Source organism: Homo sapiens, chromosome 7 (genome assembly GCF_000001405.40).
Source record: "Homo sapiens chromosome 7, GRCh38.p14 Primary Assembly".
Taxonomy (NCBI): Eukaryota; Metazoa; Chordata; class Mammalia; order Primates; family Hominidae; genus Homo; species Homo sapiens.
The window spans coordinates 27,104,349-27,130,768 of record NC_000007.14 but is presented as its reverse complement, the minus strand read 5'-3'; the positions used below and the strand labels follow the sequence as shown (position 1 = coordinate 27,130,768).

The 26,420-nt window shown below is 50.0% G+C and overlaps 2 protein-coding genes and 1 long non-coding RNA gene across 16 annotated transcripts in view, besides 7 other annotated features; 2 read left to right on the top strand and 1 right to left on the bottom strand.

Moving 5' to 3' along the window:
• HOXA3 (homeobox A3) overlaps window positions 1–23,759 on the top strand; it is a 45,574-nt gene extending 21,815 nt beyond the window's left edge. For 2 of the 14 annotated variants that reach the window (NM_001384335.1, NM_001384339.1), the window contains 5 exons: window positions 3,699–3,883; window positions 6,220–6,335; window positions 8,127–8,210; window positions 20,009–20,654; window positions 22,049–23,759. In NM_001384335.1, the coding sequence (NP_001371264.1) occupies window positions 20,129–20,654; window positions 22,049–22,854 (1,332 nt within the window). In that variant the 5' untranslated portion in view covers window positions 3,699–3,883; window positions 6,220–6,335; window positions 8,127–8,210; window positions 20,009–20,128 and the 3' untranslated portion in view covers window positions 22,855–23,759. Of the gene's footprint in view, window positions 1–3,698; window positions 3,884–6,219; window positions 6,583–7,741; window positions 7,997–8,060; window positions 8,211–8,396; window positions 8,621–11,173; window positions 11,254–12,411; window positions 12,623–16,926; window positions 17,145–20,008; window positions 20,655–22,048 lie in introns of those variants that run through there. The other 12 variants (NM_153631.3, NM_001384340.1, NM_001384336.1 and 9 more) reach the window with 10 other exon arrangements.
• On the top strand, window positions 12–2,244 carry HOXA4 (homeobox A4). Its single transcript, NM_002141.5, has 2 exons — window positions 12–651; window positions 1,198–2,244. Exons 1-2 carry the CDS (start codon window positions 36–38, stop codon window positions 1,542–1,544), a joined length of 963 nt encoding a protein of 320 aa, NP_002132.3. The 5' UTR covers window positions 12–35; the 3' UTR covers window positions 1,545–2,244.
• HOXA-AS2 (HOXA cluster antisense RNA 2) lies at window positions 2,009–8,850 on the bottom strand. Its single transcript, NR_122069.1, has 4 exons — window positions 8,743–8,850; window positions 8,103–8,302; window positions 7,131–7,309; window positions 2,009–2,569 (listed from the first exon to the last, which is right to left on the bottom strand). It is a non-coding gene; the product is annotated as an HOXA cluster antisense RNA 2 (long non-coding RNA).
• Window positions 5,901–6,698: an enhancer, noted in NCBI's record as "H3K4me1 hESC enhancer chr7:27163690-27164487 (GRCh37/hg19 assembly coordinates)". NCBI's record gives its function as "activates a minimal SCP1, AML or CMV promoter by ChIP-STARR-seq in primed H9 embryonic stem cells {active_cell/tissue: H9 hESC(primed)}" and the evidence as "EXISTENCE:reporter gene assay evidence [ECO:0000049][PMID:30033119]".
• Window positions 7,498–8,295: an enhancer, noted in NCBI's record as "H3K4me1 hESC enhancer chr7:27162093-27162890 (GRCh37/hg19 assembly coordinates)". NCBI's record gives its function as "activates a minimal SCP1, AML or CMV promoter by ChIP-STARR-seq in primed H9 embryonic stem cells {active_cell/tissue: H9 hESC(primed)}" and the evidence as "EXISTENCE:reporter gene assay evidence [ECO:0000049][PMID:30033119]".
• Window positions 7,498–9,073: a biological region, named in NCBI's record as "CDK7 strongly-dependent group 2 enhancer GRCh37_chr7:27161315-27162514".
• Window positions 7,874–9,073: an enhancer, noted in NCBI's record as "CDK7 strongly-dependent group 2 enhancer chr7:27161315-27162514 (GRCh37/hg19 assembly coordinates)". NCBI's record gives its function as "activates an origin of replication core promoter dependent on BRD2, BRD4, P300/CBP, MED14 and CDK7 cofactors, with strong dependence on CDK7, by STARR-seq in HCT116 cells {active_cell/tissue: HCT116}" and the evidence as "EXISTENCE:reporter gene assay evidence [ECO:0000049][PMID:35650434]".
• Window positions 15,038–15,253: a silencer, noted in NCBI's record as "fragment chr7:27155135-27155350 (GRCh37/hg19 assembly coordinates)". NCBI's record gives its function as "represses an EF-1alpha promoter that drives an FKBP-Casp9 reporter gene in an ReSE screen in K562 erythroleukemia cells {active_cell/tissue: K562}" and the evidence as "EXISTENCE:reporter gene assay evidence [ECO:0000049][PMID:32094911]".
• Window positions 17,156–17,657: an enhancer, noted in NCBI's record as "NANOG hESC enhancer chr7:27152731-27153232 (GRCh37/hg19 assembly coordinates)". NCBI's record gives its function as "activates a minimal SCP1, AML or CMV promoter by ChIP-STARR-seq in naive H9 embryonic stem cells {active_cell/tissue: H9 hESC(naive)}" and the evidence as "EXISTENCE:reporter gene assay evidence [ECO:0000049][PMID:30033119]".
• Window positions 19,205–19,499: an enhancer, noted in NCBI's record as "tiled region #6231; K562 Activating non-DNase unmatched - State 20:ReprD". NCBI's record gives its function as "activates a minimal TATA promoter and a strong SV40 promoter by Sharpr-MPRA in K562 cells {active_cell/tissue: K562}" and the evidence as "EXISTENCE:reporter gene assay evidence [ECO:0000049][PMID:27701403]".

The following is a 26,420-nucleotide window of genomic DNA, read 5'->3' as shown; positions in this document are numbered from 1 at the left end:
CGAGAAAAATTAGTATTTTTGCACTTCACAAATTAATGACCATGAGCTCGTTTTTGATAAACTCCAACTACATCGAGCCCAAGTTCCCTCCCTTCGAGGAGTACGCGCAGCACAGCGGCTCGGGCGGCGCAGACGGCGGCCCGGGCGGGGGCCCCGGCTACCAGCAGCCCCCAGCGCCCCCGACCCAGCACCTGCCGCTGCAGCAGCCCCAGCTCCCTCACGCGGGCGGCGGCCGAGAGCCCACTGCCTCCTACTACGCGCCGCGGACCGCCCGCGAGCCCGCCTACCCTGCTGCCGCGCTGTACCCCGCGCATGGGGCCGCGGACACCGCCTACCCCTATGGCTACCGCGGCGGCGCCAGCCCCGGGCGGCCGCCCCAGCCCGAGCAGCCCCCGGCGCAAGCCAAGGGCCCAGCGCACGGCCTGCATGCGAGCCACGTCCTGCAGCCCCAGCTGCCGCCGCCCCTGCAGCCTCGCGCCGTGCCCCCAGCGGCCCCGCGGCGCTGCGAGGCGGCCCCCGCCACCCCAGGCGTCCCGGCAGGGGGCAGCGCCCCCGCGTGCCCGCTGCTCTTGGCCGACAAGAGCCCGCTGGGCCTGAAGGGCAAGGAGCCCGTGGTGTACCCCTGGATGAAGAAGATCCATGTCAGCGCCGGTACGTGGCGCCGCTTGGGAGGCGCGGGAGGTGGGCCGGGGCTGGGCCTGGGTTCGAGGGTCGGGGTCAGGAGGGAGAGGCTCAGGGGAAGGGGGCCTCGGGAGGGGAGCCCCCATCTGACCCGGGCTGCGGTGAGATGTGGGTATGTGCGCGCCAGCCAGCCGCCTGATCCCAACATGAGAACCCTTTTGTACCCAGGGTCCCTTTATCAGGAGATTTACGAGACGCCAAACTGTTAGGGCAGTAATTATAGCCCCCATAAATTTAATTGCCCTGGCAGAGGCTTCAGGCCATGTGTCTTTGAAGCTTTTCTTCAGCCCCAATGCCCAGCACCATTCTTTATGGCTCTCGGGTGTTTCCCGTTGTCAATAGCCTGTGAAACATTTTCTTTGCCGTTTTATGTATCTTGCGTGAACTTGGTGTCAGGTTATTATATAATGATGATGTCCAATTGCTCTTCCCCACCCCACCTTCTCTCTCCTCCTCCTTTCCCTCTCTTCCGCTCCCTCCTCCTTGGCCTTCTATTTCGGGGTTCTGGGTTTTCAGTTAACCCCAGTTATAACGGAGGGGAGCCTAAGCGCTCTCGAACCGCCTACACCCGGCAGCAGGTCTTGGAGCTGGAGAAGGAGTTCCACTTCAATCGATACCTGACCCGGCGGCGCCGCATCGAGATCGCCCACACGCTCTGTTTGTCTGAGCGCCAGGTCAAGATCTGGTTTCAGAACCGGAGGATGAAGTGGAAGAAAGACCACAAACTGCCCAACACCAAGATGCGATCCTCCAATTCGGCCTCGGCCTCTGCCGGCCCACCAGGGAAAGCACAAACTCAGAGCCCACACCTCCATCCCCACCCCCACCCGAGCACCTCCACACCCGTTCCCTCCTCCATATAATCTTCTAGAGATCTTAACCAGTTTCTATCCCTTACCTGCTTTTCTCTTCTCTTCTCCTGCTCCGTTCCTCATCCACCCCTCCCCATCTGGACCATAATAGACACCAAAACAAACCCAAATTGGTGAAAAGAATAATCAAAAAGAAGACATTATCCGGTTAAGAGTCTGTGCTGGTTGCCACCCAAGAGAGAACAGTTGTCCAGGATGCTGGCTGGTGGAACAACCTGCTGGCCCGAAACAAGGCTGCCAGGTGTGGATACCTGAGAAGGACTACTTGGTATCAAATACTTTTGAGATGGCTACAGTCAGCTAGCTGGACAGCCCATGCTGAGTGGGGACATACACTTGCATCTTTGTTGAAAGCAGAAGAAGACAGACCCTTTCCCCACCTTCCTTACCTCCTCTTCCCCCATTAAGGCAGCTCATCCAAGCTTGTATTTAACTGAATAAATGAGTAGACATTGTGGACCTCACAAGATTATTTAATTCTTAAGATGTGTAGACCTTGATGGTAGGTGTGACATGTTAGTTTTTCTTACTTGCATTTATTTAAGACACTGTTACAGAGATACTGTTGTCCCCTTCTGGGGCACGGTCTTTGGGGAGAGGGGAGTGCATTTAGACTTATGTGGAACTGTACAAATTGTGATGTGGCTACATAGAAAGCCATGTGCTAAGAATAAACTCCATTTAAAAAACATTAAAAATCTAAGATTCATGTGTTTTCTAAGCTTTTCATTAAGAAAACAAAAGTCCTCTGGATTGAGATACTTGACCTTGCATGTAAAAACCTTGTAGATAGCTTGAGCTGGATTCACTTGGATTCTGACGGCTCACATAATTTGTGTGTGAGAGTGTGTGTATGTATGTTCAACTTGAGCTGAACTCTTGTCAAGCTTGGCCTACTGTGGAAAAGTTCCAAAGAGTAGGAAGGCTCTTGAGCTCTGAGAGGGCTCCTCTTCTTCCCAAACTTGGCCAGGCTTTCAGGCTTCAAGTCTCTGTAAGGCATAGAAACGTGTCCTTCCCTGCAATGAAAGTTGAAACCATGCAGTGCTGTGGGCCCAGGAGTTTCTGCAGCTGTTCTACACACTGAACTCTGAGCACACTTGGAAAGAAGTGGTCTCTTTGGTATTTGGTATTTGTTGCACCTTCACACTTAATCTGCCTGTTTCCCAGGAGATAAAAAATAGTTTGTGCAAAGGGTTGAGATTAGTTTTTGTTTCCTGGCTGTTCTTAAGGTCCTCTTCACTAACTACAGACTGGGAATTTTTGTTTGTTTGCTTGTTTGTTTCTCTTTTTTGAAGAAAGAGCTTTCAAATAAACTGAATTTTACAAGTACACTCTCCAATGTCTCTTCTGAGGAAAAAGCATAATATACCCCTAAAGTTCACCCCATGCAAAGTAGACCTGGGAGAGTTTACTGCTGGAAAATAGCCAAACTGGGTCACTTTCCTCAAATGCTTTGTGAATTTTCTGCTCGATTCCAGAGATCTAGATCCAAAAGGCTGAAAATCAAAACCCACTTCTCGATCTCTATAACCCTAGTATTTGTTTACTGATTTAGATTTGATGCTTACTGCAGGGAGTTCCCTACAATAAGACCACAAAAACCTGTGCACACTAGCCCCAGAATATTAGAACTGTCACCTGGCCTTGAAAAAGTGCAACTTTTAAGTAATGTAGTAATTTTAGCATAGATGGGAGTAAGTGCTCACCTGCCTCTGCAATATCAGAGAATTTTTAAACACATTTCTCTCATTAGTGGCAAAACCCTTTAGCCAGTGTCAGAGCTGGTACCCCTTTCACCCCTGCTGCCCTGTGTGTGATACAAACAAGGGTGATCCGTTCTATACCTACAAATCAGATTTGAGAGGAAAGTGATAGATACCAGTCTCTGAAGAGCCAAGAAAATTCGGGAGCAATCAAATACACACTTACCTTCCCAAATCAGGATAAACCTGGCATAAAGTGCATTTTATAAGGTGTGAACGGGTGCCAGGGATTTCTGGAGGCAATGCAACTGCTGCTGAAACTTATTAACCCTCCCCCTACTACACACACTTGTAAAACAAAATTAAATCACGCTGAAAATAGCAATTTTCCCAGGAATCATTAATCACCTCAAACAATAAATACTTCTTTGTAATTCAACAGCAATTCTGAAAGGCATTCTCTGGGAAAAGTCTGTGGAGGAGAGAGGGATCTTCTTGCAAATAATGTGGTCTCAGGCAAGGACACAGCATCTTGGCTGTCTGCTAAAAAAAAAAAATGCCTAGACTCTCAGTGGAAATTGAGTGTCAAGCTGCAAAATCTCAAATGGCAGACTATCATCATTTAAGGTAAATTCTTATATTTCTCCTTTGTGGGAAAAGAGGGGTATGGGAATATTCATTAGCTTCATGCTGCAGGCAGTTGTATGAGGATGAAAGGGGTGACTTTCTTTCACTTGCACTTATAAGTCCATCCAGAAAGGGAAGAGAGAGGATTGAGATCATTTTTCTGATATTCCAGGACAAGATGGCATTTTTGTCCCAACTGTATTGATTATTAAGGTATTGGTGAGTTTTACAAAACCCAGATTATAGAAAATGATCCAAATGATTGCCATTTCTTAAGTGTTGTTTTGCCTGCTTCAAATTGGCCTTTAAGGGAGCTTGTTATAAGAGATTAGAAAATCCCACTTTGTGCTTCAAAATCATGCATTGTCTGCCCTTTGCTAGGGCAACCATAAGAGTTCACCGAGAGGACAAATTTTCTATCTCATTAATTGTTTTTTTTTTTTAAGCAAACCCTACTGGCCCCTCAAATCCTTGACCTTTAAAGACAGTATTTTGTGTAAGCTCTATAATTTTACCAAAATGAGCCTTACACATACTCTCCTTTTCTCTCTTTCTCCCTCCCTCCAATACACACTCATCTGCTTTAGTCACAGAGCCAAGTTGTGCATGACTCCGGAGACAAAAGTTTTGTCAACATCTGAAATCGACCTAAATCGGATAGGAGACACTTTAATGGTCACAGTTTGAATTAAGTACTTAACACTCTCCCCCTTGAAGAAAAATGGCACTTTGCAGGCTTCCTTCCCTAGTTTTGCTGAAATCTATGATATACCCGGTGTTTTATTACAGCAGGAATTCAACTGTGACAGGCATAGTAGAGTACTTAATACCCAGGATGGAGCCATGGGAAGATTACCTAGATAGATGGGGGAGGAGGGAAGTCCCTTCGCATAGCATCTCTGACTTCATACCCAGTTGTCCCAGCGGGCCCCATTCCCCTATATCTCAGCCTCCTCCCTATGGGGTGGGGTGGGGTGGATATCACCATCTTTCCTCTGTCCCCCTGTTCCCCTAAGCTTCCAAACTCTGCTCTCCTCACTGTTGCCTTCCCTCTAGCAGTTCCCACATAGAAACAGATCAATGACTCTTTAGAATGAAAGAGAAGAAAAACCCAAAGAATCAATGTAGCAAAAAAGCCTGGGGCTTCCCCTCTGAATGAGTGGGTTCTGTGCAGGCAGTAGGCTGCCCTTGGCACTCCCCTGGTCTCTGCATCCCTAAACACAGTCTTGTATAGCAGAACACAGGCTCACCTTTCTCAACTGCTGCTGTGTTGCCCCTTCCCTATATTATACACTGTCCCAAGAATAATTCTGCTTCGTGTTCCAAAGAAACACATGGGCTGGAAACAATAGGAGGAAGAGACGTGTGTTCTGTTCCCTTGATGGTATGAGGGAGGCTGCTGTGGCTGTCTTGAAACCCTCTAGGCTGCAACTTACAGAACTCTGGCACCTCTTCTGAAGACTCCAAAATCACGGGGCAACCCCTTCCCTTTCAAGCCAGCCCTACTTTCTCTGGGATTGTTTCCTGGGGCTGAAAGAGATTCCCAGATTGAAAGACTGTCCAAAGTGAAGGAGACCTGGAGGCCATTTTGGTTCAATCTTCTTAATTTACAGATGAGAAAACTGAGGCAGCCGAATGATCCTCCCTCCACCGTTCCTTAAGTTAATGAGTACGAGGGTGGAATGCAACCTTTAGTCTCACTCTAGAGAGCAATAAGAGCACAGACATCTTTCCTCTTAGGAAGATATTCTGCCAGGAATGGAGGTATGCATCTAAGCTTACACTTGACCTGGACGGTCACAGGTGTGTACAGCCAGAGAAGAAGGATGGGTTCTTGCCTCATGGGCCATCAAAGCTGCTTGGGGAGATTTTGTAACCAAGCCACCCTAGTCATAGAGCTCAGACAGGTGGACTGGCCACTGGGCTCAGGAGGGGACAGATGTCAGGGCATCTCGGAGAGCAGTGGACTCCCCACTATCCACAACGGTCATAATCCCAGGATGACTAATTCTGTCATGCTTGCCCTGCTATTTCCATGGTGGTGGCTTGCCTCAGACCAGGGCAAGGATGAATGTGCCCCGGAGGCCGGCAGAGCCAAAAAAAGGACCCTGGTTGCAGCTGATAAAGGTGTAGCGCCTGTGCAAGGGAGATATTGAAATTGTAATCTTTGAGGTCACGTGACTCATTAAATAATTAATGCAGATCGTCAGGAATGGATCGGAGTCGTCAGGGCCTCACTAGGAATGAATCTCTCAGAAGTGAGATTCCAACTTACCATTTGATTTTTAAAAACACACACCCTCAGATTTATCTCCAAAGGCTTTTAACTCCTTCAGGAAGGCAGGAGAGAGCCCTCGGCAGGGAGGACGGAGCTGGCAGGCCCTCACCAGATCTTGGGGCCTTTTCCGCAGGGTTTCTGCGAGTCCAGGGAGCGCGCCGCGTCCGGGGAAACGTGAGTTCGGGCTTGGGTTTTCTGCGGTCACATCCTGGCTTTGGTGATGAAGTGGGACGGATGCGCAGACAGTTGGTAATGTTCTGATTCACGCTGGGGAAGGCTGCAGAGATACCACAGGACGGGCGCGCGGCTTTGTTCAATTTTCCCGGCGTTCATAAATCACCCGCGCCGGGCGAGCGAGGGAGCAAGCGAGCGCCAAAAACGCGGAGAGAGAGGCCACGGCGGCGGCGGCAGCCATTGTAAAGTGAGAGACCTGGGCAGCATCTCTCTGTGACTCATTAGTCTGAACGATTTATGGGGTACAGCAGCCATGAATATTAGACTTGGAGATAAGGAAACAGCAAAAATAATAACCATAATAATTACATACTCCTAAGTGTCACGCAGGGGAGTGGTGGGTGGCGGCATAGCGGATCTTTCTGGAATGAAATTGAGAGGCAAAGTGCAGGATGGCTGAGTCCACCTTGCTCATGGTCATGCCAGGAGCCCCAAGACCAGGGGGCACTCCCTTTGGGGACACAGAAAGCAAGTTTGAACAAGAGAAAGGGGGCGCAGCGCGCAGCGTGGATCCTGGGTCCTTTTCCTTTGGTTTGTGGGGGCTACGGGTCGAACTGTGGCAGAGCGCAGCTACCGGTGTGCGGCCACTTGTTCCACGTGCTAGGGGGCTCCGAAGCCAGGGGTCAGGGGACTCCTCAGCTATTTGATATCCCCTCTTAGCGCTATCTACAGAATTGCGTGAAGGCAGACAGACAGCGGAGGGCTGGTTTGGGGCAGGCTGGGGTAAGAGGTTACCTGGGTCTGAGTGAAGGGGTAGTCGGGGCAGGGATAGGTCTGTAGACGCAAAGGGCCCGCAGAGTCCCAGCGGAGCGCAGAACTTCTCCAAGCCAGGGTCCGGCGAGCGGACGATTCTTTCCTCTTTCCCCATCATCTCCCACTCCCAGAAAGCTGACTGCCGGCTCGGTGACCATTTGCTGGTTAGAGGGCAAGAGAGGGTTGCAAATACTGTGAGGGACGAGATTTGAGCAGAATCAAGGCATCAGATCGGCTTGTGGCCGTTGCGCAAGGCCAGGCAGGAGCAGGGCCCCTGAGCAGGTATTGTACCAGCCGGCGTCCCTCTCAGTTTCCAGCAGCCTTAGCTGGCCTGCTCTGAGGGACTAGGTGCTGCGGTAGCCCCGCCAGCCCACTAGGACCTAAAAGGAACGCACCCAGAGTTGAATAAACCAGAACACAAATCCTCCCAAGACTGCCTCTGGCCAGTGGAATGAACCCGGGTCTGATTTCGCGCCTACAGAAATGAACACATATTAGTGAGGTTTCAGGAGAGTCCGTGATTGAATGCTCCCAGACAAGGCTTCCTTTTGTTAGGAAAGGAAAATAAAGCAAGCATTCACATTCTCCAAGTTGTGGTGCCTGAGGAGAGAGCTCTCTGAAAGCAGCCCACACCACCAGCAAAGCCACTTCCACCTTCTCAGCTTCCTCTGTTTGCTTCATGTCCTTTCCTTCCCCACTCCCCCGCCAAAAAAAAGAAAGAAAAAGGAGAAAGTATGGGTGTGGAGATGGAGTATGTATTTATTTTACAAAAATAAATCACCATCTTCGGACCATTTGTAGACTGGAACATTTCGAGCAATGAGTGCGCCACACGGACGAGTGCCCTGGTGACTCCCTGATGTTCGCGTCACCCCCAGGGCCACCTTGGCGCCCGCATGAGCCTCGCTTCCCACTCCCGGCCTCCAACTCCCTTCCCTCGCAGCCGCCATTCACCTTCTGCTGTTTATTTGTCTGCAGAGCGCCTGGACACCGGAAAAGGCGATTCCCTGAGCGCCTGGAGTTGGAGACAATTCCTGGTTCAGAATTTAAACATCTTTCTAGGTAAGCGCTGCTCCAAAACTCTTCGCCGCGTGGGACTTTGCACCAGGGCGGTTGGGAGGAGTTGGCCCTCCACGGTTCCTGGCAACCGCGGCCTGTTGAAAGAGGTTCTGGTCAATATTTAACTTCGGAGGAGTTTGGAGTTGGATTCCTTTAAGCTTCTTGCCCTGCGAGTGCGGGGCCTCAGGCAGACAAAGAGCCTACCCCAAAACCAGCGATGGGCAGGAGAAGCGGTTGCAGAAGGCAAAGATGGGTTGTGGAGAGTCAGAGGGAGTGTGTTTGTTTCTTCCTGCAAGCCCCAAACAAACCACTACACTGAACTTCAGGGCAAAAGCAAGTAAAGGCCACGGGCACGGGCGCGGCGGCCGCTGCGTGGGCTGCTCTCTTTGTCGACTAAGGCGACTGCGGAGGCTGTGAGTTAAGAAATTGTCGCCAGTCCCAGCTCGCTGTTGAGGAAAACTTGTATCACACTCTTGCAGTTTCTTAGACCATTTTGCCTTTCCTTCGGCATGAGAAAAATTGCTGTATTTCTAACCTTTAGGCCTTCGCAGACAGCGGGTCTTCTTCCTTCTTTCATCAGGGCTCATCATCGGTTCTTCCTACGGGAAAAGCGTGGTTTTCTATGTCTTGGCGTTTCCTTTTCCTATTTGAAACAAGGGAAAACTCTTTTAAATTATTTTCAAGTTCTGACTTAATTTGTCCTCTTAGTTTGGGATGCAGGGAGGTAATTACTGTGGTTTATTACCTTGTAAAAGATCCATAAATTACATGCCTGTTTGGGGGAGGGGCTGCTGGAATAGCTTTCAGAAGCATGGTATGAAGGAATGAGTTTGCTTTGTTCTTTCAGGAATTACTTCTTTTTAAAAAGTTTTGAGATTTTGTATTCTATTTCCTAGGCCTCCAGTCTTCCCTTAAATTTGCTCCCAAATAGATATCAGGTTGTTAATTAATTGCAACATGATATTCAGTCGTGCTATAAGGCTGATATGGTGTTCTGGATACAATTATTTTTTCCAATAGAAGGTAAACAGAGCAATAGTCAAGCTGTGTTACTTTCTCAGCTACTGTATGTCTGTTTATATCAAATATAGATGGAACATTTCAGGAATTTGTAACTCTGTGTATATGATTTCCATCTCAGCAAACAACAGAACAATTGCATGTATAAATAGTTGCAGGAATTTGGGGCCTTGTGTATAACACAATATACACATCCACACGTGTCCAGAGAACTTGGCCCATTTCTCTACTGCACTTGCACCCACAGGAAATATCTCATGTTAAATAAGAATCTATCATACACACACACACACACACACACACACACACACACACACACACGCACACAGTGGGCTAAGAGAGCCTTACCTGATGCTGAGTAGAAAATCCACTAGATTTAAGTAATGGGACAAAAATGTTAAGTGTACTTTTGACAGAGAAATCAGATTGCAGTGTTTGAGTACAGATATATCTAATCTGCCAACAGCCTTGCAAATATTGGCTAACGGTGTGTACCCTTGGTTGCCTGCTTTTTCCAAGCCAGCTTTCCCCCTATTTTGGCTCTGGTGACCAGGACCACAGTATCAGTCCCAGCGCAGGCCAAGTTGGAGGCCGGTGAAGTGAGTGAAGAGGGACTGGCAGCTGGGTTTTTAAAAGGCCCGTAGCTTTGCTCCAGGAAACTGGATTGCAGAGTGGCAAAGGAGGACTGTCAGCTGCTGGTTCCCCAGATAGGCTGCCCAGGCCAAGATCTCTCATAGAGAAGCTGTTTTTTAACCTCAAAAGTTAAATGTCTTTTGACTTTTCAGATTTTTCCCTTCTCATCCCACCAAATCACCCATCCCACCCCAAGTCATTAATGTTAATTGTTAAACAGCAGTTGGAGCATTAACTGGATGTTAGCAGCCGTTTGGAGGCCCCAGGCTGGAGCTGAGATGCCTCTGAGCTTTGCTGGCGTTAAGGCATTTCTCTGAAGCAGTACCAATGACTTATTTCATTGATTTATGGCTTTTTTTTTTTTTTTTTTTTGACAGAGTCGCGCTCTGTCCCAGGCTGGAGTGCAGTGGTACGATCTCAGCTCACTGCAACCTCTGCCTTCTGGTTTCAAGTGATTTTCCCACCTCAGCCTCCCGACTAGCTGGGATTACAGGCATGCACCACCATGCCTGGCTAATTTTTGTATTTTTAGTACAGACGGGGTTGCACCATGTTGTTCAGGCTGGTCTCGAACTGCTGACCTCATGATCCACCCACCTCGGCCTCCCAAAGTGCTGGGATTACAGGCATGAGCCACCGCACCCGGACAATTTATGGCTTTAAGAGTTTTCATTTGCTCGACTGTTCCAAGAGCTTTGAAGGGGGCCCCTTCTCATCTTTGAGTTGATGCCTCTTCAGAAACTTGGGGGTAGGGAGGAATTTGCCAGCAATACCTCCAGGTCCCTTTCTAGGGTATCTGGAGAGCTCAGTGTGAATGATTGGTGAGGGGTATGAGGCAGGCAGCAGTAAGAATGAGAGGAGTGAGTTCTTGGGGGTCAGGAGAACGCTTTTTGGAAACCAGCTTCTACTCCTGTCCTCTATCCCCCAAACCTGAGAGAGGCAGGTTTTCACTTGGAGTTCTTACTTTCCAGCTTGTAACTTAGATAGGAGCTGGAAAAGTTCACATGGAGGTTCTCTTCCAGCTACACCACAGATTGAACCTTACTGAAATATTGTCACCAGCTTAGGCCAGGACTTGCTTCCAGGGGATTAGGTCTCTTCTTTTATTGCCTTTCTGATTTGGACAACCCATGAACAAGTTCTCTTATGAAAGGCCTTACATTTTCATCAGACCCCTTCTGTTCCTCTGCAGGGGAGGAGTGAAGGGGAGGAATCATGCACAGCCTCCTGCAGCTGCTATAAGTGAGTCCTCACACTCAGGCATAGCCAGCTGAAGACCCATTCTCCAGGAAAAAAAGAATATGGCCTGAGGATCTCACTAGCCTCAGAGCACTCTCAGAAGTTCAGAAACTAAGACCAGAAAAGAGAAGATTTTTAGACAGCTCATGAAACGGTACAATGTTGAAATTAGTGGGCAATGTCATCAGGCAGAAGGCAGGAGTAGGGGTGGAACCAAGGGTGGGAGCAGCTTATTTGTTTCAGTTAGGTTCTTCCTGAGCACAGTTGGTTCTCTACTGGTTTTCTGCTCAAGATTATTTTGAGAGTTCTGAAGGGGGCTCTTTCTCATCTTTGAGTTGATATCTCTATAGGAACTTGTGTGGGGGTGGGGAGAGAATTTGCTGGTGGACACAGAATTGTCTTGGAAAAGTGGGTGGACAGACCTGCCTGTGGAGAGGGTCCCAGATTGCCTTGTTAACTTAAGGCACTCCAGTGAAGGTTGATTCTTTTTCTTTTTTTTCTTATTTTTTTTGGGGGGGGGGGTCTCTTGCAGAGCAATTAGATCATTTCCTCTGATATTTTTTATGTTTAGAAACTTATAATTCCATGTATCACTCAGTTGTGCACTGAGGAAATGCTTAAGTGCAAGTTTAGTCAGGGCACTAGGTTTCTCTAGATTTTGCAAAACCCGGACCCACCACTCTATAGCCAAGCACATCTTTCCTAGTGGGCTCCCACTGAACAAAACCAACTGGACTTGGAGGAGATGCTTTAACCTTTTGTCAGGTAATTATGTGCCTTTTTGGTGTTTCTTGCGTCTGTAGTGTATGGTGTGGGTGTTAGCAAACTCCATACAATGGCAGGCTGTGAGGAAGTCCGCTGTCCAGGCCAGTTATTTCTGGGCCTGCCCCTTGCCTTTTGATATACTGGCCTGTGGGCCAGAGGAGACTGGGGTGCATGGGTGTGCAGGATCCAGCTTGTCCGTGGGTGGGAGGCTGTAAGGAAAGTTAAATGGATTCTAAAAATGTGAATAGCATTGCTGTAACCCTTGTGTTTGGAGGGTGTGTAAAGAAATATAAGTGGAGATAAGCTTGTATGTCTTATATGGCATTCATGGGAGGATGGCTCCAAGCATCCTATTGCTTAGACAGAACTCTTAAACTCAAAACTGCTGGTCAAGGTTCCCCACCTACCCTCCCCCAAAGCTAAATATTCTGTTTGGAAACCTAGTTCCTTCAGTGGTTCCCTATTTCAAATAAAAGGATTTAAGTTGACGTATGACCACGTGAGCACATAATACAGCGCATTATTGTGGCATTTGGAGCGGAGACCCAGACAGGCTTCGCCTGTGATTACGTTTTCTAGATTCTCTACAGAGCCAGAGCTTTCCCCCAACCCCCACGCACCCACCTCCTCCTTCTCCTTCCCCTTCTCCGGAGAGCGCTCTCTGAGCCGATTGCAGTTTTCAGCACTCATGGAGCGGTTCTGGGCGAGCTAGCCGATGGAAGTCGAGGCTATACCAGGAGGATGGAATTTATTTTAAGGTATTTCCGCCGATTGTTCATATCTAGAGTGAGTTATGGCTGTGAGAGACAAAGGTCAGGCGAGGAGACCCTGGCTCATGGACAGGACCCTCAGCCTCTCTCTTCCTTTGTTTCTCTTTTAGAACCGAAACCATTTGAAAGATTCCCAGTAGCGCCTCAGACTCTGAATTTAATTCCCTGGAAAGTGTTGGGGGTGTAAAGGAGGGGGCACTAGGGGGGCTCCTAGGTGGGCCCAGTGGCCCCCAGTGCAAGGGTGGCTTTGTCCACTGCAGCAGGGCAGGGCTGGAGTCTCAGGAGCTGATCCCCAGGCGGAAAGAGGGTCCAGAAGCCAGGTGCAGGCAGAGGTGGACCGGCTTGCAGGGCTAGATTGCCTGGGAGGGGTGGGGGATGGGTGGGTGAGAAGGGGAATCTCTCCCAGGATGGCGGTGTTTTCAGGCAGGGGATGGAGGATTAGGGGCTGACCTGAGCAGCCGGAGCAGCTGGAAGAGGGAAATCGATGAGGGAAATGTGCAGATGCGCTGCCATTTTATTGATGATGCTTCCAGGCACTTTGTTTAGTGCCAGATTGCAGAGCATGCTTCCCCACAAGCCGGACCCAAGAAGCCAGACCCAAGGATCTGAACCGGAGGGCCCGCCATTGTTTCCCTGAGCACCCTCTGCCCCAGAGGGTTGAAGAAAGACAGCTCAGACCTAGGAGAGCCTTGGGGTGGGGTGAGCATGCTGGATGCCCAGGGGCTCCTTATTCTAACATTCGGGAGACAGAGGAAGGAGGGAGCCAGGATTAGGTTTGGACTTCATCAGTGCGCCTGGTCTGGGCATTCCTTGTGTACCCCCAGCTGGCTTGGAGAGTTCCAGAACTGGCCAGTGGGCCCTGGGTTGGAGGGAAGTCCAGAGACAAGAGTCCTCAGGAAGCAGAGGCAGACATCTCTCCAGCTTCAGAGCCTCCAAAACAGAGCTGTAGCCAGGGTGGAGGCAGATGAAAGTTAAACTGCATGTTTCCAGATTATTGGGAAAGCCCCAGCTAATTGGGCTTTGGGGACCCCACACTCCTGGGAAGGGTGGGAACTCCCTGGAAAGGTGCAGGAAACTCTATTATGCTCCTTGCAGTAGGGAAAGGGATGCTTATAAGGAGTCAGAGGTCGGATGTGCCCCTTTCACTTCTTAAAATATAGATTATTTCTTTCTGTACGTGAAAAAAAAATCAAATCAGGCATCCCCTACTTGAGTGGGATTTACTACCCCAGAACGAAAGGGCCCTTCTGCCCTCCCCAGTGCCGGCCTCGGCAGTAACCAAGTGTTTAACTGAGGCCCTTTCAAGTGCTCTAAAACACCCCTTGGAAATAAAATGTAAGCTTTAATTGCTGTTCAATTACTTGTCAGCATTTCATATGATTTATGACCTAGTTCTGGCGCATTTTTGACCCAGTTAAAGACTCATAAATAATATAGTTTTGCTAGAAAGAATGAGAGAGGGAATAGAGGTTTGTTAGAGGCATCTTTTTATTGTTGCTTCAGTGCCAGCAAGCTGAATAAATATCTAAGGATGGACTCTGGTTCTACATAAAAGCATGCACAGTGAGAAGCCAAGAGCCACATTTATAGAGCTCAGATTGGTTTTTCCTCCCATGAAAGTGCTAAAGTGAGTCCATTACGTATAATGCTAAACTATTAGATATCAAAAAAGGCTAGTCCCCTTCTACCTCGAAATGCCAGCTTCACCCTCACAGGCAAGTACATTTCCTCAATAATTTTCCTCTCTATTCTGTGATTTTGGTGCCTCTTCTTACCCACGATATTCCTCACCTTCCTCCCCGGCTGCACAGCCTTGGAACCGCCAGAGGCCCTCTCAGACGCCTTCAGGAGGACACCCCTTGAATGGTAGAAAGACACCACGGGCACCTTTGCTGCTCCAAGTATTCTTCTAGTGCTGAGAAAATCTTTTCTTCTAGTCCCCCTGGATGAGAGATCGGGAGCCACGGGGATTTGGGGGAATTGGTGGAACCAAGGGGTCCTCTCAGTAAAGAAAAGCTCTGCGGTTTTGGGGGAGCCGGGTGAACTGCTGTGGGATTTGTCTAGAAAGGGCGCAGCGGCGGCGGCTGGTAATTTCTGGAGGTGGAAATCAACAATCGGCATTTTCGCTTAAAAAACAAAACACCAATAGCAAACCAACAAATAAAAACCTTCCGCCAGCATAAATTATTATTTTAAAATAATCTCGCCTACGCTTGCTCCAAAGCCAGTCCTTTGGATTTAAGCAGAGCGGCTTGAGGCTGGGGCACCGACCATCTGCATGCCAGGACGCTGGACCTTCATCTTGAGGTCGGAGCCCCACTTCTGCCCGCTGAGGCCCGCGGCCCAGGAGCCACGTATCGGGGCGGATAGAGGCCCTGGCCGGAACGAAGCTCCCGCCCCAGATCTCCCTGGGCTCCCACGGCTCCTCAGGTCTGGTCCCCGCGTTTTGCCCGGCAGGGTCTTGGCGCCAGTGGAAAGGTATGCTTTCAGGGCGCCCCAGCCCTTGCTCGGGAGCCCTCGGTCCCCTTGGCCCAGAGAATCCCTTCCCCTGGCAGGTTCTTACGGAGAGCTGGCCTTCCCGGCAGCTGGCTTAGCTGAGAAGGCGGTGAGAGTCGCGTCAGCAGTTTGGAGGAGAAAGTGCGGGTTGATTATTGACCCACGCCTTCTTTCTTCAAATGCCACATCCGACCGGGCGGGTTTGAAGAGAAAATGCCGCCGAACGGATTTTTGCGGCTGGCTCTCACCTCCTACGCGGCCAGCTCCCCCTTTCAAGTTGCTCTGCAATATGCCATAAGGAGCAAGTGTTTGCTGTTTTGTGCTCTGTTTACAGCTTTGGGGCGCCGAGTCATAAATCTTGCCCAGCCATAAATGACAAAAACCATTGGTATGCATGAGGCCACCCTGGCCCGGAGTGCTTTTTGATTTCTCCCTTTTCCCCTGGCTTTGTTTTTGCTCTAAGGTGACACTTTGGCTCCTTGACAGTTTAAACATACTACTTATATTTTTAACACCTTCCTTTGAGAAGGACCCGCCGTTGACGCCTTGGGATTGCAGCAAAAGAGAGAAATCTCCATTTCTCTTTTTGCCACACTCGTACCCTTGCAGAGTTTGCTTCTGAAGCTGGGAGCAAAGGAGGCTTTAGGAGGAAAATCATCCACTTTCAAGTTGTGGCAATATTACCAGGCAAATTCGGACCTTTCTTTTGCCCAGCTCAGCGTTACTCCATCCCACTAATGAGGAAAATATGTATATACATATATATAATATATATTATATATATAATATATATTATATATATAATATATATTATATATATATGTATGTTTTAGGAATCCGTTTGAGAAACCACATATTCCTCTGCCCTGCGTGTGTGTGTGTGTGTGTGTGTGTATGATGTCGGTTTCTCTTGGGGTCAGAGCTTTCTCTGTCTTCCCTGTGGGTGAGCTGCGTGTCTGCACTCTGAAATGGGCACATGAGCCCTGGAGATCCGCGTTTCTAAACACCCTTGTTTGTACCTGAGCCCAGAGCATCCCATTTCACTGCTGGAACAAGTACCTGTCTCTCCCAGGACATTTTTCTCCTGGCTGCTAGGATGTCAGCAGTTTCTGCCTGAAAATTTAACCAAAGAGAGCCCAGTTGGCTCTTGAGGGTCTCTAGAGAAAAGCCTTATCCCAGCTCCCCACACCCCCACCCAAAGATCTGTTTGGGAGTTGCAGGTGAAGTAAACTGGGCAAAGTCTGGGAAACTCACTTTTCTTGGTTCTCTTTCCCCTCACCCCACAATTGGAAGTGTCCAGGGCAGAGGAATACGAAGTTTCTCAAACGAATTCCTAAGAAATAGAGCCCAGCAAGAGAGCCCCTTTGTGAGAGCCGTTTGTCCTCATTAGCATAATTTTCCTGGACTTTCGTGACGCCTGGGAGCAGGAGAGGGAGGGCGTTGGGGGGTGGGGGGAGGCTGCCCTCCTCCCGCCACCGCCGAGCTCCCCTTCTCCCTCCGGTCCCTCCCCTCGCCTCAGCCCCATCCCCCACACCAGCCCGCGCTTCCCCAGCCGCCTTGGTCTCCCCTCCCGCCCGCCCCAACACCCCCCACCGCACCCCCGGACCAGACGCTGCTCCGCGTGTAATATTCATAAGAAACATACCCAAGTCGGTGCCACTAGCCCAGGCAGAGCCCGGCGCCGCACTAGCGCTTATCTCCGGGCCGCGGCTGCTGCCCTCGGGAAGGGCAGGGGGCGGGGGTGTGGGGGAGGGGTGGGTGGGTGGGGTGGGTGGGAGGGGGGTCCAAGCCGCCCCAGTCGGCCCTGGGCGAGCCGTGCTGGAGCAGCGAGGCGGCCACGCTCTGCGCGGCGGTGACCGGGCCTCGGGGTCTCCAGCCCGCCTGCCATCTCGGCTGATGCTGAGGGTCCGTGCCCATCCCGCGCCGAGGGGACCCGGCCGGGCCGCCAAGCCAGGCCGGGGGCCAGAGCCCGTGTCGGAGCCTGAGCCCGAGCCTGCGCTCGTCAGAAGTTAAGGTAAGCAGGGCCGCAACCGGCCGCTCCCGGCGCTGAATGGCGGAGTTTACGTCTCGGTGATTTATGGCTGCAGACTTAAATCTCGGTTCAAGAAGAGTTCACAAGCCGGAGCTTCCTTCCCGGCAGTGACTGATACCCTTACACTTCGAGTTCAGGCCGCTTTCCCATCCCCGCCCCCACCTCTTGCCTCTCCCCTAGCCCAGCCTTAACTTTTCTGGGTTGCAGAGGGAAGGAGAGGTGGGCAGGGGACTCGGGGCTCCTATCCGACGAACCCGCTCAGATTTGGGGTGAGGGAAGGCTAAGAAAGAGGAGGGAATGGGAAGAGGGAGCGATGTCTGAAGGACGGAGGTTGAATTTGGGCACATCTTCCAGAGAGACAATAGGGCTTGCTTCTTGCACTCAATTTAGCCTCTTCAACTCTCTTTCGGCTCTTGCACCTGGGGATTATTGTCCAGAAACAGATCTTTGTGGAGGAATCTCCCCTCATCCCCAGCCCTTGCTTGGCGGTACAGAGCAAAGTTTCCTGGCTGGCAAATCTCCAACTTCTTTACTAGGTTGCAAACTTTGGGGGCTGGGTTGGGGTGGGGGGATGTATGAGCTCCAAGGTGGTGGTCTGCTGACCTCGAACAATAGGAAGGATTTTGGTGGGATCCCAGAATCGAATTTATATTTTAAGTTTACGAGGGCTGTTGTATGCTCTTTGATTTTCAAAGATATTTTTGTTATTTTGTAAGACAATGCACAACTTGATAAAAAGGCTTAACTAAGTAGCAGGCTGGTATAACGTGATAATGGATTAGCAAGTCACTAGAAATATTGCATGTGCAAAATCAGCTTAATTTTGTTTTATCTAATATCTTGCTGTTCGAGTGTCTAATTTTCTTAACCTGACATTTTATTTTACACAAGCCTGGTATCTAAAAAATTTGTAATGGCAGACATTGACACTGCCAAATGTAATAGGAACTGTTTTCAGTAAAAGAAAAGGAAACGGATACACTAAATTGCTATTCAGTTTTAAGTTTTACTTTATCCTTTATTTACTTTCAACCATGGTATGTGTAGCTTCCTATTTCCAAAAGAGAAACAATGCTCCAGGGCTCATGATCACTGACAATAACTCTGGATAAGCGATGCTGTAATTTTTAATCGAGGTTCTGGAAAATTAATTGTGCCTGTTTTGCAGATGTTGGTAAGATTGTTGGCTTAATAATGAAATCTAAAGGAGTCCATTATCAACAATGGAATTATAATCATCTACTGGTAGATGCAATACATTATCTTTTTTTTTCTAGTTAACAAAGCATCTAATATTCCTGGAAAACTTGAATAACTCTGGGACTCAATATACATAGTTGGATTGCATGTTAACCATTTTCTTTTGAATTTGTTATAATTTTCTTGAGTGGTCAGAGGGACTAAGATTCTGAGTGTGTGTGTGGGTGAATATTTGAAACTCACATGGAACTTTTCTGTGCTGAGAACTAGAGGTTGACCATGCAGTGGTTGAAAACAAAAAGAAAACAGATTTAACTTTTGCAAACTGCTTTCTAAATGAAAGAGGGTTGAGGAGGTTTTCAACTGCTTTTTAGATTTTCAGGGTTATCCTTTACTTGGTATTTCTGAAGCAGGTAAATAGGCCAAGTAACAAAATATCAACAACAACAACAGCACACAAAGATCAGGAAACTCTGGCAGGATTTTATGGCTTGTGCTTCCATCCCTCGTCGGGAGCCAAATGACCCCCATACATCAAATTACATAGCAGTTTCTAAGACAGAACCTATTATCGTTAAGTTGGAAGGAGAGTTCAAACTGTGGTCATGGAGATGAACGCTGGTTTTTCAGGTTCCTGGAGGGGTTTTTTTTCCCCCTCTAATCCATCATGTTTTAACAGGTAGAATTTGATAGTTGCCCCGAATAACAGCACCTTAGAAAGTCCAAGACAGGAGGTTCTGGGAACCTTCTGTAACTGGGGGAAAGAAGTAAAGAAGTGGGGGTGGCTTGCTGGGAAGTGCCTGAGAAACAGGGAGAGGAAAGGAGTAAAGAACTCTCCAGGATTTTAGTTGTGACTTGCTGGGTGGGGTGTTACTGTTGGTCCCTCACCCTAAACACACACACACACACACACACACACACGCAATGTGTTCCACACAAAGTTTTCCCTCCCCCCTTGGCTTGGCCACAAGGGGTTCATTTGGAGGAGGTGAGTCATATCCCCAACAAGGTGGATTAACTTCCTAACAAGCTCAGCTTCTGAAATCCAGCATGGTTGGATGGGGCAAATTGCCTGAAATTTTTTGTGCAAACCTCTCTTGGGAGCAGGAAGGTCCAAGAAGGAGCTGGGTGGGAAGTTACCCCATCTCAGGGCTCTTTTGGCAAACATCAGTCCTAAAGCGGAGAAAACATTGGCGACCCAAGCTCCCCTTTGCCTCCTCGTTCCCTTCCCAACATTCCCAGAGTGGAGGAGTCTTGGGCCCTCTGGAGGAGGCCAAGGAGCAGAAACTAAGCGACACCCCAAGTTTCTTCTTCCCTGGAAAAGAAAGATCCCAGCCTTTTTCCTTTCTAGCCTATCAAGCCTTTCTCCTTTTGGATCCCGGCTCCTGAGAATCAGCTTGCAGCCCTCACTCATTCTCCTTCTCCCCGGAAAATCCCCCAACTCCAGACGCAAGTTAAGCAAATATTTGTAGCTGCCAGTAAATTCCAGCGGTTTTTTATAGCACGGCTCCCTGCGCCCGGGGCCAAGTCGTGCTGCTAAATATTGCTGACCACTTTTTCTTTTATGGCTTTCATGTCACTTAGCTATTGAGAGTAAGATGGATTTGCGCGGAGCCCTCACCGCGCTGCGCTTCTCGCCCCACCAGGTCTGCGCGGGGCGGCCATTGGCGGCGGAGTGTCACGTGACCGCGGGGGCGTGCCAATGTGCGCCCTCACGGGTGTCAAACCCCTGTCAGAGTGTGCGATCAAGATCGTGAAACAACGCGATGCAAAAAGCGACCTACTACGACAGCTCGGCGATCTACGGTGGCTACCCCTACCAGGCAGCCAACGGGTTCGCTTATAATGCCAATCAGCAGCCGTACCCGGCGTCCGCCGCTTTGGGCGCCGACGGCGAGTACCACCGACCCGCCTGCTCCCTCCAGTCTCCCTCCAGCGCCGGGGGCCACCCCAAGGCACACGAACTGAGTGAGGCGTGCCTGCGCACCCTGAGCGCCCCACCTAGCCAGCCTCCAAGCCTGGGAGAGCCGCCCCTGCACCCGCCGCCGCCCCAGGCCGCGCCCCCTGCCCCACAGCCGCCTCAGCCCGCACCTCAGCCCCCTGCACCTACCCCTGCCGCGCCCCCGCCTCCCTCTTCTGCCTCCCCTCCTCAGAATGCCAGCAACAACCCTACCCCTGCCAACGCGGCCAAGAGCCCCCTGCTCAACTCACCCACAGTGGCCAAACAAATCTTCCCCTGGATGAAAGAGTCTCGACAAAACACAAAGCAGAAAACCAGCAGCTCCAGCTCAGGTAAAGGAGTGCCTTCTGGAAGAGGGTCCTCTGGCCTGGCTCCTGGTCCCCAAGCTACTGCCCACGACATCCAGCACAGCCTAGGAGCGATGGAGCATGTCTGGAATTCACTGCTCCCACACCACTGCCCACCAAAAAGGTTTTCATAGTCTTTGCAACTTAGGGAGGTGATAGGCCTCTGTAGGCTGGAAAACACCAGAGACCTGCTGGGAGTCCCTCTGGACTTCTCCAAGGGCAAGTAGGGTCTAGTGCAGTTGGAATCTCTTCTTGCTCCACTCTTGGAGTTAGGACCTCTGTGCAGAAACAACCTGAGCTCCACTGTCTATCTTTTTAGCACAGCTCTTCTAATGAAACAGTGACATCCTCCCCTTACTGAAATGTGGCAGAATAAAAACAGGCCTAATCACCCTCCAAGACAGAATCAATGCTTTGCCTATAATCAGAGCCAATTTTTGCTCCAGCAGATGGAGTGGCTGCCTTACCTCTGGGAAGACCCTACTCAGACTTAGTACAATGAAAGCAGCCAAAGATCTCCTGGGGGAGGGGGATGCAGACTTATCATCCTAATGGGAACCACATGGGCCTCCTGAAAGCGGGCTCCAGTAGAGGAAAGGCCCCAGGCTTTAGGCTTCCTAGCATTTTGGTTACCTTTGCCCCTGCCTTCTCCAGTTGCCAGTGCCCTGCTCTGAGCCTGAGCATCTGGGACTTCCAGAGCTAGGATCTGGGGGGCCAGGGAAGACAGAAGGGTACAAGATTAGTGGACAAAAGCTGGGGCTGGCTGCTTGATGACATAGGGAACCCTAAAGAATAGGACCTAGCATGAAGGGCCTAGGCCTCCCCACCAGAAATACCTTCAATGGGATCTCTTCTTTGGGCAGAGAAGGCCTTCCAGTTTGAGGTTTCCAGTCTGCCCATCTCCTCTGGGTAGAGAGAAAAAAGTGGCCAGTTGAAGCTACTGCCTAATTATTGTCAGACAGTGTGGGAGGGAAATGAGTGTGTACATTAGGTTTCCCACATTTCAGTTACTGTGAAGAGAATGGAGATGCTGAGACCGGCCCACAGGGAGGCTGTTGTCCGATAGGCCAAAGGGACCAGTAAATGAGTCAGAAAGTTAATAGCTCTAAACAGAAAATCCAGACCAGGAAGGCAAACCGGGGGTTCTACTTCTCTGTCCTTTCCCCCGAGAAGGCTGTGATTTGCTCCTTGGCTAAATGAGGGAGTATCACTGTTTTACCCACCAGGAGAGAGGATAGCACCTAGTTCCTACTTCTCTCTGGGACCTGACGGATGCAGGAACCTTTGGGGCCTGGTGGAAGGAGGGGCCGGGCTGGGTCAGGGGCTGGGCGGGGCCGCGGCAGCCCCTGACGCCGCTCTTCCTCTCTCTGTCCTCGCAGGCGAAAGCTGCGCTGGCGACAAGAGCCCGCCGGGGCAGGCTTCGTCCAAGCGCGCGCGCACGGCCTACACGAGCGCGCAGCTGGTGGAGCTGGAGAAAGAGTTCCACTTCAACCGCTACCTGTGCCGGCCGCGCCGGGTGGAGATGGCCAATCTGCTGAACCTCACTGAGCGCCAGATCAAGATCTGGTTCCAGAATCGCCGCATGAAGTACAAAAAGGATCAGAAGGGCAAGGGCATGCTAACGTCATCGGGGGGCCAGTCTCCAAGTCGCAGCCCCGTGCCCCCCGGAGCCGGTGGCTATCTGAACTCTATGCATTCGCTGGTCAACAGCGTCCCGTATGAGCCCCAGTCGCCCCCGCCCTTCTCCAAGCCCCCCCAGGGTACCTACGGGCTGCCCCCCGCCTCCTACCCTGCGTCCCTGCCCAGCTGCGCACCCCCGCCACCCCCACAGAAGCGCTACACGGCGGCAGGGGCGGGCGCAGGGGGCACCCCCGACTATGACCCGCACGCTCATGGCCTGCAGGGCAACGGCAGCTATGGGACCCCACACATACAGGGAAGCCCCGTCTTCGTGGGGGGCAGCTATGTGGAGCCCATGAGCAACTCCGGGCCAGCCCTCTTTGGTCTAACTCACCTCCCCCACGCTGCCTCGGGCGCCATGGACTATGGGGGTGCCGGGCCGCTGGGCAGCGGCCACCACCACGGGCCGGGGCCTGGGGAGCCGCACCCCACCTACACGGACCTTACCGGCCACCATCCTTCTCAGGGAAGAATTCAGGAAGCACCCAAGCTCACCCACCTGTGATAGTGGGCTTGGGGCTACGCGCCAGGAGAGTCTCCCCCCACCCACCTTTTTTCTTTGGTTGCTTTTTTTTTTTTTTTTTTTTAGGTTCTTCCTGCCCTTTCCTTCCTTCCTTTTCTCTCTTCTCCGCCCCGCACTCCGTTTCCCGGTTTCCCCCCTCGTTGGTAAGGCGTTTTTATAGTTTATGTGACGTAGCAATCTTGGTTGCTGGAATGGCTGTATCATAGCGATATTTATCTCTTCCTGCTCCTCGATAGGCCACTGGCCCTGCACCCTTTACCTTCTCCACTCTTTGATCAGAAACAGGGTATATGAACAAATTTTCTAGTCGAGTTTTCAATGTGAATTTGTTCTTACATTATGGCTCCCGAGGGGAAGCGATTACTTTTTTTAATTTTAAATTTTTTTTTTAATTGCACTTCTTGTAAAGAGTGAGAAAAAAAATCAAAGGCGCTTTGAAACAGGGGCTCTCTGTGCAAGGATGACTAAGTGTACGTCTTTCCGTGTGTGTATGCTGGTGAACAGTCAGATTTATTTATATTTTTTTGCAAGCATTGAATAATCTAAGTTTTAAATATTATTTATCCCCATCCGTTCGTATTTATATTAAAGAATTCTGTACCCTGATGGTTCAGAAGGGTTCTTGGGCCTTTTGTTCAATTGTGTATTGGCGTACTTAGAATTTTTTTTATTTGAAAGAGAAATATAATTCCTTTAAACGGTAACGATACAATAAAACCAGAGAAGATCCAGCTTTTGAAAACAGTGATTTAGGTTTGTAACATCCGGCAAAACTGAAAAAAAAAATCTGTAAACGCGAAAAATACTAGATTTGTTTTGAGAGTTCTTCATTCCTTGCTGCTCACATTCTGAGAAACAAAAAGAAATAAAGTTTTTATTCTGAATAATATCCGTGTTAAGAAGGGGTTCTTTGGCCGAAGACGTGGGTCTGCGTGGAATTCAGGCCGAGGCGAGCCGGCAGAGCAGGCCGGACGCAGCAGCCCTCTGGCTCCAGCATGGGGCCTGGCCAGGCTATTCGCCTGGAAGCTCGGCGAATTCTCAGGATGGCGGCTGGGGCTCCAGGCGGCTGCGGCAGCTCTGGTAACGCCGTGCGGCGGGCCAGCTGGGCTGCCCGGTTCCCAGCTGCTGCGGAGGCAGGCTGAGGGCGCAGGGGCTGCCGAGTGCTGTGCACGGAAGAAACAAAGACATCCCGGCCCAAGGCGCAGCGGGAGCGCACAGGTGCCCCGCGGCCCAGCCGGGGGATAACGCAGGGCGGTCTTCTGCTCCATGCTCTTCCTCGGGTCAAAGCGGACCAACTAACGCCTAAACCTCGGTATTAGCCAGCCGCGCAGAGGATGCCGAGCACTTTCCGGGAGCAATCGGACTCCTGGTCTCCTCCGGGGATGCTTCGCGGTCTGTTATCGCGTCAGGAGGAAAGAATTGCTCCAAAAATCTGCACGCGGAGCGAAACAGTTTGAAAGGGACTGAGGCTCACCCAGGTCTCCAGCAAACGGAGGACTGAACTGGGGAGAGTCACCCTGAGCCAGCCCTTCCCTGGACTGCCGGAATCCCAGCATTAGCTTCCTGCTGAATGTAGTATTTGGCATTCTCTGAATTTATTTCCTCTCCTTCCCCCACCCAGCTTTCTTTTTATGGCCCCAGGGGGAGGGGGAGAGAGCAAGGAGATCGGTATCTTTGTAATAAAACTGCAATTTTATAAATTTTTCATTTGATGTTGTAGGAGCTAAATATTACATTTCCACTCCTGGATTTAAGATAGGGCTGCTTACTGACTGGCTAGAAGAGGCAAAAGAAGGCACAGTAAAGGGAAATATTTTCATCTTCAGATTTAAGGATTCCTCGAGAAAGGAATCAAATTCAGAAAATGCAGACCTCAGACCTGCATCCCCATCATCACCCCCTTCAGAGCTAGAAGCGAGGAACTGCTTTCGTCTGGGGATCAGGAGCATCGGATGTGAGAAATAAATCCCTATTCTCCCTGGATTGTATCTTTCAGAGACAGAAGTGGAAAATGTCGCCATTTTGTTTGCAATCCAAAATATCCATCATCATGGCCTTTATCTTCCCCCTGTGAAGCTCCCTCAGATTATCCTTAGAAGCAGGCACTGGAGCCATTTCTGGGTACCTGCTGGGTCCCAACGAGCTGCTTTTAGAGAAACTCCTCATGGTTTAAGGAAAAGGCTCGGAGGATGCCAAGCCAGGCTGCTGTGGAGAGCTCAGTGTTTCTCTCACACCCAGAGGTGCTTTCCCCATATCTGTCCTAAGGCTGCTGATATATATATCCTTTTTAAAGGGTTTGGGCTATGGGAGAAATAGATTTCCTCTCCGCACCTCAACCTCTGCGCCAAAATATGGCGCACCTCAGAAATGCAGAGGCTGCAAAACCAGGCTTTGTGAAGACTAGAGCTTCCACCTCTTCGTCACGCTAAGCAGATACAGGAGTCTTCTTTTAAGTAATCAGCTTAGAGACACGTGTAAAATTACCTGGAAAAATAAGGAACAGCTAGGGGAGAGATTCACCTAAGGATGAAGATCCTTCAGGGATATCACTATTTGAACACGTTTCTGAAATCTACTCTTTAGCTGAGGGAGGGGTGGTTTGGAGGCTTCCTCCTTCCCCCAGGGCTAAGATTTTAAAATGAGATTCTAATGTGATTTCCCGCATCTTACCAGTCAAGACATTCATTTTGGCTTTCAAAGAAAAAAGTATTGACTTCACCCCCCAGTTTCCTAGATATTAAAAAGAAATCCTTATTAAAATATCTCATAAGTTAAAGTAATAGATTTGGGGAAGATTTCAGTGTTGAGTGGTCAAAGAAAAGGGTTTTCTTCCAGATGGTATTTGAATTAAGGCGGCTGAGGCAGCAGAAAGCTCTCACCCACGCAGCCCCTGACAAAGCCTCAGAGATATGGGGGCAGCGCTGCTCCCTCTCTGCACCCCCCGCCCACGTTCCCTTAAGCCTGTAATATTTTCTGGTAAAAGCAGATGCCAAAAGCTGCCATCCCAGGGTTCGCAAAGCACCCTTCCTAAAAGGAGCCCTATAACCCTTTTCACTGCCAAAATATATTTTTTAAAAGACTAGTTTTCCTTATTTACTTGCATTTCCTGCTCTCCTCTTTGCTCGGCCACATTTTATCTTGGAAGGAGCTGGAAGCTGAAATGTGTTCTTAAGGGCTAGAAGCTGTCAAGGCTTTTGGTGAGCAAGATTGATCGCGCCCAGACTTCCTTTGGAGCTTTGTTTGGAATAAAAGCAAGAAAACTAAAAAACCTCACATTTTCCAAAATAGCATCTCTATCTGCAAGGCAATGCTCTGGGCTGGTCAATGATATAGGCCACTTATGTCTAATTTCCACCCCAAACCCTCTTTGACGCTGGCCTCAGAGATGGGGTCCTGCCTTTGCTCCTTGGTTGGCCTTTCTTGTTTTCTACGTAGATTTTTCTCCCCCTCCAACCTCTCTCTCCCTGACCATCAGAATGATTTATTTTCCTGCCATTGATGCCTGCCGGCCTGGGGGAGTCTGATCAGTTAGTCTATTTCAAAGGAAG

Bases quoted from the DNA above. Each gene is read 5' to 3' on its own strand.
- HOXA4 (NM_002141.5), top strand. From the start codon at position 36: ATGACCATGAGCTCGTTTTTGATAAACTCCAACTACATCGAGCCCAAG. The intron at 652-1,197 runs GTACGTGGCGCC...CTGGGTTTTCAG, and splicing joins GAAGATCCATGTCAGCGCCG to TTAACCCCAGTTATAACGGA.